We start from the raw sequence: 15,108 nt of genomic DNA on the forward strand, positions 1-15,108 counted from the left end.
TAATCTCTAACATTTTTACTAAAGAAACCTGCCTAGATCATTGAAGCTAGTGGTTTCCTAAACCTTTAGTGGGAACAAGGTCATGATGCTCTTTTAATTTAATTTTTCCCCAGAAAAGTATAAATTTTCATTTAATTTCTCCCCAGAAAAGTATAAATATACAGAGTTCACAGACCCTTGGAAGACCATTTATGCTCACGCTAACAGATTCAGGTTAAGAGTCAGAGAGATGAAGTAGAAAATTTCCCAAGGTCCCTCCAACCCTCTTCCATAATTCTCTCTCTGACTCATAAGAACCAACTAAATCATTCATAACCAAACCAAACAATATACTTTCTTGCATGACCAACCCATTTAAAAAAAAAGCAGCTGACAGTATCTATATAGCAATATCCACCAGAAAATAAATTGTACTGGCAGCATTTTAAAATACAGCATGTGACTAGTAATATCAATGAATATTATAGTTGATTATAGCTTAGAGAATGTTTTCACATACAACACCAAATAATCCTCAATTCTGGTAAAATAGAAGTACGTATTATTTTTATCCCCCTTCCACAGCTAAGGAAAGAGGTTTAGAAAATTACTTGCCATGCTCACACAGCCAATAAGTGGAGATCTGGGATTCTAATAGAGAATTGTGTAGTACCAGAAGTGAGCTCAGAACAATATTATAGTCTGGTGCTTCCATAAAAGCTCCTCAAAACAGAGAAAACAGAATTTTTAAAAATAGACTAATGGGTGACATTTTTATTGCAGACATATCTTGACATGAGTAAACAAAAATTAATTTATTTAAAATGCTCAACTCCCTCTTGTTTCTTTGGCTAATATAAACCATTTTGTTCAGAAAAAAAAAAAAGACATAGTCAAGTGAATTTTAGCGACTGAAAACAACATTTTGTTATTTTATGAAACATTTATCCTCCCTCATCTCTTGCTTTTTTTGGGGGTGGGGGGAAATAGGGTCTCACTCTGTCACCCAGGCTGGAGTGCAGTGATGCAATCATGGCTCACTGCAGCCTTGACCTCCCTGGACTCAGGTGATCCTCCCACCTCAGTCTCCCGAGTAGCTGGGACCACAGGTGCACACCACCACATCTGGGTAATTTTTGTTCGTTTGTTTGTTTTTTTGTAGACACAGGGTTTCGCCGTGTTGTTCAGGCTGGTCTGGAACTCCTGGGATCAAGCAATTGGCCTGCTTTGGCTTCTGAAAGTGCTAGGATTACAAGCATGAGCCACCGAGCCTGGCCTCTTTTTTTTTTTTTTTTTTGGAATATAGAGAAAGGTCTCACTTTGTTGCCCAGGATGGTCTCAAACTCCTGGGCTCAAGCAATCCTCCTGCCTTGACCTCCCAAATTGCAGTTACAGGTGTGAGCTACCATGTGGGGCCCTTTAGTTCTTAATATACAAAAATAAATGTGACTCTTGGGAATTCCAATATAAGTAACCAAAAATTTAAACATTCAATTTATAAAACACAAAAACTATCTGAAATTAATGTTTAAGATGTCTGCAATAGTCTCTTTAATCTTTTTAAAATGACAATATCCATTTCAGTTCTCTACAACTCTCAAAAGTTCTTGATAAAAACAAAAGGGTTATTTGTCCAAACCCACAGAATGTTTAACACCAAGAATGAATCCTAACTGTGGATGTGATAACATGTCAATGTAGGTTCATCAATTGTAATATACGTACCACTCTGATGAGAGATTTTGGCTCTGTAGGGGTAGGCGATACATGGGAAATCTCTATACCTTCCACTCAGTTTTGTTGTGAACTTACAACTGCTCTAAAAAAGAAAATTCATTTTTCAAAATAGCAGGTGGGATCAAAATTTACCCAACTTTTTTTTTTTTTTTAGATGGAGTCTCGTTCTATTGCCAGGCTGGAGTGCAGCTGCGTGATCTCAGCTCACTTCCACCTCCCAGGTTCAAGTGATTCTCGTGTCTCTGGGACTACAGGCATGCGCCACCATGCCCAGCTAATTTTTTTGTATTTTTAGTAGAGATGGGGTTTCACCATGTTGGCCAGGATGGTCTTGATCTCCTGACCTCTTGATCCGCCCGCCTCGGCCTCCCAAAGTGTTGGGATTACAGGCGTGAGCCACCGCGCCCGGCCCTAACTTTCTTCTTAATGAATGAAGAAATACTGTTTTTAAAAAATAACCCTCACTGAATGTGAACTGAGTTTCTTGTCAAAAAATGTGCAATTATTACAGAATATATCATCTTAACCAATTATCAGTAATCTTATCAAATGCTAAAAGAATTGGCAGCTTTAAAAATTAAAATGATGAAGCTAAGTGCTCATATGTAGTTGAATAGAGTATCCTTAGACTTTTTTTTTCTTTTTTTGAGATGGAGTCTCACTCTGTCGCCCAGGCTGGAGCGCAGTGGCATGATCTCGGTTCACTGCAACCTCCGCCTCCCGGGTTCAAGCCATTCTCCTGTCTTAGCCTCTCGAGTAGCTGAGACTACAGGCATGTGCCACCACGCTCAGCTAATTTTTGTTATTTTTAGTAGAGATGGGGTTTCACCATGTTGGCCAGACTGGTCTCGAAAATCCTGACCTCAAGTGATCCCCCCGCCTCAATCTCCCAAAGTGCTGGGATTACAGGCGTGAGCCACTGCACCCGGCCCCTGAGACACCTCTTTTTATATTTAGGCTTACGCAATTTTGGTATCTTGAAAGCAATTTTTTTAAAAAGTGACGAAATAAATAAAGTGACTAAAAGTTTGAAGTTTGAACTGGGTCAGTTTGACAAATTAAGAAGGGTGCCAGGAGGAAGTCTGAGGAAAAGCAGCAGCTTAATGCCACCGCCATCTCCAAGCAGCGTTCCAGGCGCCAGCACTGTTAGCAGCAGTCCTCTGCGTACCCAAGAGTACCGCAGGGCCAGAACACGAGAAAGATGCGCGAAGAGGATTTCCTTCTAGAGAGAGAATAAAGAACACCAAGAGTCCAACAATTACCATCTTGTATAGGAGAAAAACAATGCAAAGGAAAAAACGTGCAACCAGCAGATAAAATACTTATGTCAACCCAGGTTCTAAGGACCTTTTCCCAAAGTATCCCTCTAAACTGGTAACATTAGCTTAGGGCAGAGTCAAGAAGAAAGTTATGCCATTAACACAGATGAAAATACTGAACGTTTTCTATGAAAAGTCACCCGATTAAACACTGCCAAGAGGGAAAAACAGTGCAAGTCCAGTAAAGCACGAGACACGTAGAAAATTCAAGCTATGTAGCCAAATCGCTCTCTCTGAAGAAAACAGCAAGCCAACTGAACCCAGCACGGAGTGGAAGGCGTAAAGAGCTGTCATCGTGGCGGTAACAACTCCACCGGGCGGCTGAGCGTCTAGAAAGAGGCTGCGGTTCCTGGTTCCACATCAGGAGGCACTCTCCACAAGGTCTACACCGCCGCTCCCGGGAAGGCACCTCCAGGGCGGCCAGCAAGCCCCCCGAGTGGGGACAGGCAGTGCCTTCCTCGCCTCGTCCCCGCGCGGCGTGGCCCGGAGGTGGCCCACTCGCCCCGCCCCCGCAGGCCGCGGCTCCAGGGGGCGTCCGGCCGCCCTCCCGGGGCCCCGAACCCGCGCCAGCCGCACCGCGCCTGCCCTCTTCCTGGACCCCGCGAAGCACCTGCCTGGGCCCCTCTTCGAAAGACTGGGAGGAAGGAGTCAAGGAGCTGCCGGGGAGGCTGACAGAGCCAGAGGCTGGAGCTCCCCTACGGGAGCCGGGAGCATAACCCTGCTCCTCCCGCCAATGGGGGCGACAAAAGCCGTGGAAGGTTGCTCAGGGGCTGGATCTCCTGCTGTCCGGGCCCCAAGCCCTCTCAGCTGTGGAGTTTCGGTTGGTGCACGAGGGCTCGAATTTCCTCCGCACACCGGAGACCCAAGACGGGACGGTGTTGCGACTTGGGGGCTGGGGTGAGGGAGGGCTCGGCGCGAGCGGACGGCACCGCACAAAGGAAGAGGGGACTGAGGGGAGACGAGGGGACTGAGGGGAGACGAGCGTCCCGTTACCTCGATCCTCGACCCTGTTCTTCCTGATGTCGCTAAGGTTGCAGCCACGTTACCACGCTCCCAGAGCCCCGGCCGCCCTCAGCGGAACCTCACCAACCCCGCGCGAGCACCCGGCGGACGCGCGCTCTCCTGCGCGGCCCCGCGGAGCCCCGGCGGGCGCTTGGCGTCCTCTCGCCTCAGCCCCCGCGAGCCGCGGCCTCTGGGGGCGGGGCGGGCTGGGCGGGGCTGCGCACGGCACTCTGGGAAGTGTGGTTCTCGGGACCTCCTCCCCGAGGCCACCCCCACGGCCTCGCCCCCGCGGCTCCCTAGTGGGCGGCCGGGTCTCAGGGACTGGGCAGTGTTGCCCGGCCTGGTGAAGGCGGACCAGGGCGTGGCGGAGGTCCCCATAACAAATCTTGAAATAAAACACTGCCTAAATACCTTTGAGCTTATCCATGCTTCACTTCTGCGGCGGTACAAAATTTAGTTTCTTTGTATGTCCATCAAATCCCCTTCTGCGGTTGTGAGTGTTCCTGGGATTTATGTCTTTGAAAAAAGAAGGGGAAAAAAAGGTTTGCATTTATTCCTGTGTCACTTTCACCACGTGCTCTACAAAGGATATACAAAACAACTGTGTTTATAAATACACACCCACAGTTTGTAAACCTAAGGAAGCAGTTGATTGACCTGAGAGCTCGCTGCTAAAAAGCAGTGCAAGTGGCCATGCGCGGTGGCTCACGCCTGTAATCCCAGCACTTTGGGAGGCTGAGGCGGGCGCATCACGAGGTCAGGAGTCGAGACCATCCTGGCCAACATGGTGAAACTCCGTCTGTACTAAAAATACAAAAATTAGCTGGGCGTGGTTGTGCGTGCCACCAATCCCAGCTATTCGCAAGGCTGAGGCAGGAGAATTGCTTGAACCCGGGAGTCGGAGGTTGCAGTGAGCTGAGATTGTGCCATTGCACTCCAGCCTGGCGACAGAGCAAGACTCCGTCTAAAAAAAAAAAAAAAAAAAAAAAAAGCAATGCAAGTAAAAGTGCTGTTGAAATGAATTAATTTTTCTATAATGTCAATAAAGTGGAATGTGTGAGGCGGGAGATCAAGAGACAGCAAAAAAACAAAATTTTTTTTAAAGAAAGATATTCCCCTAAATGTGTCTTTTGCCAGACTAACCTCAAACTTTCACAATCCTAGGAGTCTATTTCAGAATAAATTTAATCCTAGGACCTTTATTAATATTAACACATATGAACATTAGCACATTGATTTTAATAGAAATGAACATATATATATCTGTATATATATATGCATCTTCTATAAAAACCCCAAAGCAACTATTTGAATTTGAAATTTTATTTCTAGAAAAAAAATCACATTTTTTACATTGAAATATAAATAATTCTTAATATTTCAAAATATTCCTCTTTAGAGCATTAGTATTTTGCACATTTAATGCAAATACCTTTAGAAAAATAGAGTAAGATGAGTTTTAAAGAAGTATGCAGTGAAGAAAAGTCATAAAATGTGTCTGGAACGTGATGTAAAAATTGTTGGGACTCAGAAATCGATACCCCAAAATATGGTGCTTTGCCGCGCTGAACTGAGGAAGCAGCTTCAAGGTGTCTCTTACCTTCCCCATTACCCCTCCTGCCTCTCAATTCTTTGTCTCTCCCAAAGCACCAAATGATGTCGTTCTCTGAATTTCCCTTATCTGCCTAGAAACTAGACCTGCCAAAGAGGAACATATTTGCCTTACCTGATTTTTCATTTACTTAACTCATATTGGAGGAAGAAAGACTGAAGTCTGTCAACACTCTTGGACAGACTTTTGTCACAAACTATTGTCTGCTGTATGGGCTCAACACACTTTTTCCCAGGCCATTGTATGTTCCCCATTTTCCCCTAAAAGTCCTTTACTATACCTTAAGTTGCCACATTTCCCCAATCTCCCTTTCCCCCATAAAGAAGAGTATATAAACGTCTCTACCCCATTGAGTCATTGGGTAATCATTCTCCTGAAATCTCCCTGTGTTATGCACATTAAAATAAATTTTGTATGTCTTTTTTCCTATTAGTCTGCCATTTGACAGTTGATTTTTCAGTGAACCTTCCAAGGGAAAAGGGAAAGCTTCCCTGTATTCCCTTTATTAAACATAAAACACAATATGTATTTTATTTATTTATTTATTTTATTTTATTTTTTTGAGACGGAGTTTTGCTCTTGTCGCCCAGGCTGGAGTGCAGTGGCACAATCTCAGCTCACTGCAACCTCCACCTCCCAGGTTCAAGTGATTCTCCTGCCTCAGCCTCTGCAATAGTTGGGATTACAGGTGTCTGCCACCACGCCCGGCTAATTTTTGCATTTTTAGTAGAGACAGGGTTTTACCATGTTGGCCAGGCTGGTCTCGAACACCTGACCTCAAGTGATCCACTCGCCTCAGCCTCCCAAAGTGCTGGGATTACAGGCATGAGCCACCACGCCCGGCCTACAATATGTATTTAGTAAGACCATGTTAATAGAAATTTTGTTTTTTATAGCCTAAGCTTTTATTTTATTTTATTTATTTTATTTTAGAGACAGAGTCTCACTCTGTTGCCTAGGCTAGAGTGCAGTGAGTAGCACAATCATGGCTCACTGTAATCTTGATTTCCCCGGCTCAGGTGATTCTCCCACCTCCCGAGTAGCTGGAATTACAGGCCCACACCACCACACCTGGCTAATTTTTTTGTTTGTTTTGTTTTGTTTTGTTTTGTTTTGTAGAGATGGGGTTTCTCCATGTTGCCCAGGCTGGTTGTCAAACTCCTGGTCACAAGGGATCTGCCTTTCTTGGCCTCCCAAAGTGCTGGGATTACAGGTGTAAGCCACCATTCCTGGCCACTTTTCTTGTAATAAGGTGCACAGTAACTCCTAAAAATGCTTATAAAAAAGAGCACAACTGCTCTTTTTCTTCTGCTAATTGACATATACACAATAAACTATTTGTAGTTACTAACAAATCAAAGAAATATACACAATATTTCAATATTATTATCATCTATTTATCGAAGAACATTTTTTGAGCACCAGACACTGAGCTAGGAACTGGGAAATACGCAGTAGACAAAATTGAATAGTCCCTGCTCTCATGGAGACTTAGGATCTAGACTCGGAGACAGAGAATTAAACAGTGAATAATGAAAAGGTATGCATGGGGTGGCCAGGGGTTTGGGGAGCACCTAAGATACACCTAATCTAGAGCCTTTTATTGGGGCAGAGGAGTCTGGCAAAAATTCTGAAAATTAAATGAAATTTTTAAACCAAATAGCTATAAACTGGGGCAAAAAAAATCTTTCCCTAAAAAGTGATATATCTGTAACAATGCTCTCAAATAATTACTTAAAAATATATACAGTATCTTACAAAATAAGACATACCTCAACTAAAACAAAACACACATTTCCTAAATCGGACGAAATGTCTTCTTAGTTTTTACCCATTCCTCCCTAGCTCCATTTGAGAATAAGCAAGACTAGCCTATAATAAGTAAGGATCTAAGAAATTCCTTCCCTTCCCTCAAAGTCCGATAAATTAAAACTGGAAAGGATCTGATAGCTGTTTGTTCATTTTATGATTGTACTTTAGTCAGAAAAAAATTGCAATATTTTAACCCCAATCAACATTTGCATTTTTTTTTTTTAAATTTGAGATGGAGTCTCGCCTTGTTACCCAGGCTGGAGTGCAATGGCACGATCTTGGCTTACTGCAACCTCCGTCTCCCAGGTTCAAGTGATTCTCCTGCCTCAGCCTCCTGAGTAGCTGGGTTTCGGCCTCCCAAAGTGCTGGGATTACAAGCATGAGCCACCGCGCCGGCCAACATTTGCATTTTAAGTCTTTATCTTTAATCCTGGGATAAAAGGCTTTATAACCATCAAAAGAATTTCAGATGTGGGCTGGATATGGTGGCTCATTCCCTGGATGACAGAGCCAGACAATTTTTCTTTCTCTTAAAGGAGTCGGGGAGCAGGGAAAGAATTTCAGATGTGGCTTGCCGAGGGATTTGGAAAGATTAATGAAGAAGGTTATTTTATCTTCATTTGCTAGGGAGGCAAAGCTTGCAACCAGAGAGCAGGTCCCAGAAGAGTTGCTAAGGTTCTTTGTCTATGGAAACGTACTTAAAGAGCCTGAACACCGCCAGCAAGACCACTATCTTCCTGTCCAGGTCAGGGTTACTGGCTTGCAGTTACATTTCATCCCAATCCTTTGACTCCTATCCTGTCACCCTCCTACAAAACCAGCCTTTACTGTGGCACTTCAGCTTCCCTCAACAATCATTTCCCGCCTTTTATCCTAAGACACACATGTGGATGGCTATGTTTTCTGACCTTAGGCTGGTGGCTCAACTTGTGCTGTTTTAATAAATTAATGACAGTTCTTCCATCCACTACCATGCAATCAGCCTGACATAGGTATCTCTAAACCTTTGCTGACCATTTTCTGATATATTTCTCTGATATATATTGTTGTTTTGTTTTTGTTTTTATTTTGTTAAAGAGATGGATGGGGTGGAGTTTGGTGGGGTGCGGGGATGGGGGGATTTTGCTATGTTGCCACGGCTGGTCTTGAACTCCTGGCCTCGAGGGATCCTCCTGCCTTAGCTTCCCGCCTTAGCCTTCGGAGTGGCTGGGATTACAAGGCTCAAGTCACAGCACCCAGCATCCCTGAAATATTTAAAGTTCCCAATTTTTCTGTGGGTCTTTGTAATTGCTGTTCCTTCTACCCCTTTGCCTGGTGAACTCTTTCTAATCATCTAGTATTAACTTAGAAAACTTTTTAATTAGGAAACCTTTCTTGGTTACAGTCCCCCCTCTCCAGTTTTGGGTTACTGCCTCCTATATATGCTCATCTTACAACTTATTTTTGCCCCTAAAGTAGCACTTAGTGAGCATTTTAAGAAGTTGTCTATATCTTTCATTTGTCTGAAATCTCCTTAAATAGAAAATAACAGCATAGTACTTGATGTATAGATGCTTAATAAATACTTGGACTATAAATGGATGCATATCAACTTTGCTCAGTAAACAACCATTCGGTAACTACTTCCTGCCAAGGGCCAGGCAGTAAATATTTTAGGGTTTGGGGCCATAAGGTCTCTGTTGCTTCCTAAAGGACAATAGTCAAGTCTCACTGGTGGCTCCAAAATATCTATATAAGACAGAATTTGAGTTAAAACTTGGAATGAAAGGAGTAGGGGTGCAGCTCTGGGTTAGAGGACATTACTTGAAGATATCTTTACAGGCACACAGTTATTGTTTCCACTGAATATCTATTTTAGGTAGTTTGGGGGTGGGTCTGTGGGTGAAGCTAAAACAGAAAGCATCATCCTTGCTATGACCACTGCTAGTTCTGTTGGTGCTCTAAATCATTTCTTTTGAAAATTACTAGTGCTGGTGACTTTTGAAATGCGGGTGTTGTTGTTTTTTTGTTTTGTTTTCATTTTTAGCATTTTATTTTTATTACTCCATCATACCCAAGTCTAATCAGTTTCCATTTCCCATGAACCTGCCTAGATAGGGTTGAATTCTCAGGCTGAATATGTGGGGGAACTGTGGAATTCTCTCCGGAGCAATATGAGAAATGACAGAATGAGAGCAATTTGCCTCCATCCCTACCACATTCAAGAACTGTGACTTTAGTTACCAGAAAAAAACACATTTAGAGAAACTTTGATTTTCAGTAACTATTTTTGAAACATGTGCCACATACTTCTGAGCAAAATTGTATCCATATGTATGGTAGAAATTGGCACAGTGAAACAAATGTAATTGTGTTTCCATTGCAATTTGTATTCCAAATGTACGATGTCTGTGAAAAGTACTTCTTTCATTAAGATATAGCTCTATATTAGGCCAGGCGCGATGGCTCACGCCTGTAATCCCAGCACTTTGGGAAGCCAAGGTGGGTGGATCAGTTGAGGTCAGGAGTTCAAGACCAGCCTAGCCAACATGGTGAAACCCTGTCTCTACTAAAAATACAAAAATTAGCCGGGCATGGCGGTGCACGCCTGTAGTCCCAGCTACTTGGGGGCTGAGGCAGAAGAGTTGCGTGAATCCAGGAGGCGGAGGTTGCAGTGAGCTGAGATCGCGCCACTGCATTCCAGCCTGGGCAACAGAGCAAGACTCTGTCTCTCTCTCGCTCTCTCTCTCTCTCTATATATATAAATAATATATATATTATTTATATAAATAATATATATTACTTATATAAATAATATATATATTACTTATATATAATATATATTATTTATATATAATATATATATTATTTATATATAATATATATTATTTATATATAATATATATTATTTATATATAATATATATTATTTATATATAATATATATTATATATATAATATATATTATATATAATATATATTATATATAATATATATTATTTATAAATAATATATATATTATATATAAATAATATATATTATATATAAATAATATATATTATATATAAATAATATATAATATATAAATAATATATATATTATATATAAATAATATATATTATATATAAGTAATATATATTATATATAAATAATATATAATATATAAATAATATATATTATATATAAATAATATATATTATATTTCCTTTCTGATATCATCTTCACATTCTCATAATAGAGTCAATCTGAAAAGTTTATTTTTTGATATGAAAATAAATGCAACATGGCAGACCCTACTAGCTGCTTAAGCAGCATCTTTTTGCCTTCTTCTTTAGAAGGAGAACTCCAATATTGTTAGCAGGATGGCTGAAAGCCCAGCTAAAAGTGCAACTATTGCACAGGACTTTGGGGATGGCTGCTTAAAGGAAACTAATCCAGTTTTAAAGTATCTCTCTCGTTTTTCTTTCTTCCTGGAAGCGATGGCTTGAGTTTTAGTAGCCATCTTGGACCATAGAGTTATTTGACACTGGAGACGGGGCACCACGGTTCATGCCTGCAATCTCAGCACTTTGGGAGGCCCAGACAAAGGAAGCTTGAGTCCAGGAGTTCGAGACCAGCCTGGAGAACACAGCAAGACTGTGTCTCTACTAAAATTAAAAAGAAAGAAAAAAATTAGCCAGTGGTGTTGGTATGTACCTATAGTCCCAGCTATCTGGGAGGCTGAGGTGGGAGGATCCCTTGAGCCCAGTAGTTGGAGGTTGCAGTGAGCTATGATCATGCCATGCAGTCCAGCTGGAGCAACAAATCCAGACCTCGTGTCTAAATAAATAACTAAGTTATTTGTCTTTGGAAGTCATGTATAGGATGCTGGATGAATGACAGAAGGAGCCTGAGTCCCTGATGACCATTAAACCATCATTTTAGTCCAGGATTGCCTCCCTTTGTGCAATGAAAATAAGCTTTTATCTTGCTTAAGCCACTGTGTCAGGGCTTTTGGTTTTATATAGCCAGACCTAACCCTGATTTAAGAGCATACAGAGGTGCATGTGTATTACATTACAGTAAATTATGCAACCCTGTATATTCTCTGCCATTTGATATCAGCCTGATCTCCTGATCCCTGAGGAGGGTAGGAGGCTGGAGTTTGGGTTCAGTCACAGAGCCAGTGATTCAATCAATCATGCCCACATAAATGAAACTCAAAAAAACCCTCTGGATTCCAAAGCTTGGTGGAACTTCCTGGTTGGTGAACACATTGATGTGTCAGGAGGGCAACACCTCCTGACTCTATGAGGAAAGGACATGGAAGTTCTGCGTGTGGGACCCTCTCAGATCTCACCCAATGTTTCTCTTCATTTGGCTGATACTGATTTGTATCTATTAACATTATAACACAGCTGTTATATATATAGTGCTTTCCTGTGTTCTGTGAGTCATTCTAATGAATTATTGAACCTATGGGGGCCATGGGAACCCCTGAATTTGTAGCCATTGGTTCAGAGGTGACGGTGGTCTGAGGACTCCCAAACTTGCTGCTTGCATCTGAAGCAAAGACAGTTTTCTCAGGGACTATGCCCTTAACCTGTGGAGTTGGCACTAACTTTGGGTGGTTAATATTGGATTGCATAACCGTATTATACTTGATTGGTGGCTTCTACCAAAACAGTCTCACTAAAGACCTGGAGGCTTTGGAAGTTCCAGTTGAGAAAAGGATAATATTTGCACTGGAACAAACATGGCTACTCCCAAATTGCCAAGTGGCCTGCCCAGCCTTTCAGGCTTTCTTTACTTTTTTATCAGCAATTTAAGCCTATTCTTTTACTGGGTCAGTGGAGAAAGAAGGTACAAAAGTCAGGAGTCATAAAGAGATCAGCAGATGAAAACCACCAACTGAGAGATAAACTAGGGTTGAATAATCAGACAGGGTATGTGAATTTACTTCCCTGGACTTTGACCATTTTTCATGGAAACTTAAAGATAATACTTGGAGGTTATATTGCAACCTTTTGTAGATGATGTAATTTCTTCCCCTAAATGGTTGCTACCAGTCATGAAGCCACAATCTACCACCCATGTACCCATAATCTTTGCACAGATGGTACAGAAAGAAGCTCAAATTCTCAGCTTCTCTGGCTAAGTGATTCCCCTTGGGAGTTTAAAAGCCAACATTGAACATGGAAATTACACTAAAAAAATTATAATTGCATTTCTTTTTCAAAGAAGCAGAACCAGAAGAAAAACTTTTAGCCTGTTTCCTCACAGGTGAAACTAGACTATTAGAATAAAATAGCCTGTTGTTCAGCCTATTTGGAAGGTTTCAGTTGCTCCTTTTATCATCGGCTAAGACTTGAATTATAGAAGGCCAGAGGGTAATTAGATATATGCCTACTTGGTAGAGGTACTACACAGAGACTCTGCCTTTATGCTTGCAACTGTTGAATAGAAAACAGATGAGGCTAAGCAGACCACAGGACAGATGACATGTGATCACCTCTGCAGCATGGACATTGACCAGCAGCCATTTACACATCAGCCCGAATTTTTGAAACCTCCCTCAGAACATGGTCCTCAAATCTGGAATATCTTTTTCCTTTTTTTTTTTTTTTTGGTGGGGGGGGGTGCAGGGAACAGGGTCTCACTCTGTCACCTAGGCTGGAGTACAGTGGTGCGATCTTGGCTCGCAACCTCTGCCTCCCGGGTTCAAGCCATTCTCCTACCTCAGCCTCCCAAGTAGCTGGGACTACAGGTGCATGCCATCATGCATGGCTAATTTTTGTAATTTTTGGTAGAGATGGGTTTCGCCATGTTGGCCAGGCTGGTGTCGGACTCCTAACCTCAATTGATCCACCTGCCTTAGCCTCCAAAAGTGTTGGAATTACAAGCGTGAGCCACTGCACCTGGCCTACTTTTTTTTTTTTTTGAGATGGAGTCTCACTCTGTCACCCAGGCTGGAGTGCAGTGGCACAATCTCAGCTCACTGCGAGCTCCACCTCCCAGGTTCACGCCATTCTCCTGCCTCAGCCTCCCAAGTAGCTGGAACTACAGGTGCCCGCCACCACCTACCCTTTTTCTTTAGACAAGAATTAAAAGAATATTCGTTTTACCTCCCTCCCTTCTCAACGTGAGCCCTTTCCTCAAGTTTGGCCAAACATCTCACTCCTCCCTCCTCTCAAGTTCATTCCCACCCTCTCAGTCAGGTCACTGGCAGAAAACTCATGGCACACTTCAGCAATTTGAGGAGAGTTTAGTAAAGGTGTGGACAGATTCTAGAGGCAGCTGCAAGGAATAATGCAGTACTTCTGAGCTAGTAAGAGAGCGGTTCCTGGAACCTGGAGAGAGGAAGCTGTATGTAGAGCACCTCTTGACTAAGGTCTTGACAAAGGAAAACAGCTAACTCATGACAACCCTGCAAGAACGGAGCTGAGAGAGAAACACCCCAATCTTCCTGCCCTTCCCTTTGACCTCCTCAAGTGACACTTCCACCCCCAATATAACTGCTGGAAGCCAGGGGACAAGGACTTCTGTCAATTTCATCCATAACGTTTTCTGGCACCAATCAAGGTGGAGAAGGGTGAAGACGAATCTGGAGAGATCTGGAGAGACAAGTAGCACCCCTACTATTAACGTTTTTGTTCAGGCTGGGATTATCACCTAGATCACCTCATTCCAACTGTCATGTAATCCTCTAGTCTGGTCAAGAATTCCACGTATGACCTACTTTTAAACATAGAAATGCCTCTCTCCTCAGTTAGCATTTTTATCTGTATCACTCACACTGACAATCTATAAATCTTTTATTAACACTTAAATGTTTCATGTGTATATAAGTACTGATTATATTATTAGCTCTGGGGACCACAGCTTAAGAGTTACAAATCTATTTCCAGCATCTAACGCAGTGTTAAGCACAGACCAGGTGATCAGAATTGTAATCTTCTCAATTCCTGCCCCTCACTTTTTATCCCACTCCCTACCTGCTCCAGGACAGGCTTACACCTTCACATTATGATGGAAAGAATCATTTAAAATCAGTATTAGGAAGAACCAGAAGCCTAGATGTTAGGATTTTTTGCATAGTATTTTTGCACGCGTCAATATGTATGTTCCTGACATCGGGGCTGTGTAGCATACAAGTGGAATGTGGACTTCCATCTGGAGAAATGTCCAGCCCTTCACCTGGGGGATTTTTCTCTCTGTCTGGGTAGCCCTGGCCAGCACAGCAGGCTAGAAGTACTGAGAAGTTTGTCCTCTCTCCCCTCCCTGAAAGCGGATTTCAACCAGTGACTGAAGGGAGTTGGTGTCTGAAAATCACAGCGGCCTCACCTGCCCGGTGGGGGCAACTCTGAGGTGCATTCTGCCTGGTTTCTCAGTTTCCCAGGGGAGTGAGCCTGGTCACCCTCCGCGGAATCTGTGTGATAATGTACCCTTCATTGACTTTCTTCCCTTTCTTTCTTTCTTCCCTCCTCTCCTGCCAGTGCCTTTTGGGATCCTTTTCCAAATGAAATACCCTGACTTAATTATTAATAAATCTAAACCCTTACGTCTGGGTTTGCTTCTGGGGTAACCCAACCTAAGACAGGCAGGTGCTCAGTGCCAGCCTTCTGCCTCAACATGCCACCTGCAGAATAATGGCAGTGGGAGAATGATGTGATAATCCCACCTGTGAACA

The 15,108-nt window shown here is 42.5% G+C and overlaps 1 protein-coding gene across 9 annotated transcripts in view, besides 3 other annotated features; it reads right to left on the reverse strand.

Moving 5' to 3' along the window:
• KLHL8 (kelch like family member 8) overlaps nt 1-15,108 on the reverse strand; it is an 80,429-nt gene that overhangs the window by 56,287 nt on the left and 9,034 nt on the right. For 4 of the 9 annotated variants that reach the window (NR_120447.2, NM_001292007.2, NM_001292006.2 and 1 more), the window contains exon 1: nt 4,029-4,229. The gene's annotated coding sequence lies outside the window, so the exon portion shown is untranslated. Of the gene's footprint in view, nt 1-1,704; nt 1,799-3,645; nt 3,880-4,028; nt 4,230-4,448; nt 5,002-15,108 lie in introns of those variants that run through there. The other 5 variants (XM_047416014.1, XM_047416012.1, XM_047416011.1 and 2 more) reach the window with 4 other exon arrangements.
• Nucleotides 3,231-3,843: an enhancer, noted in NCBI's record as "H3K27ac hESC enhancer chr4:88140772-88141384 (GRCh37/hg19 assembly coordinates)". NCBI's record gives its function as "activates a minimal SCP1, AML or CMV promoter by ChIP-STARR-seq in naive H9 embryonic stem cells {active_cell/tissue: H9 hESC(naive)}" and the evidence as "EXISTENCE:reporter gene assay evidence [ECO:0000049][PMID:30033119]".
• Nucleotides 3,349-3,618: a silencer, noted in NCBI's record as "silent region_15556". NCBI's record gives its function as "represses an Ori minimal core promoter by ATAC-STARR-seq in GM12878 lymphoblastoid cells {active_cell/tissue: GM12878}" and the evidence as "EXISTENCE:reporter gene assay evidence [ECO:0000049][PMID:35858748]".
• Nucleotides 3,959-4,448: a silencer, noted in NCBI's record as "silent region_15557". NCBI's record gives its function as "represses an Ori minimal core promoter by ATAC-STARR-seq in GM12878 lymphoblastoid cells {active_cell/tissue: GM12878}" and the evidence as "EXISTENCE:reporter gene assay evidence [ECO:0000049][PMID:35858748]".

Source organism: Homo sapiens, chromosome 4 (assembly GCF_000001405.40).
Source record: "Homo sapiens chromosome 4, GRCh38.p14 Primary Assembly".
Taxonomy (NCBI): Eukaryota; Metazoa; Chordata; class Mammalia; order Primates; family Hominidae; genus Homo; species Homo sapiens.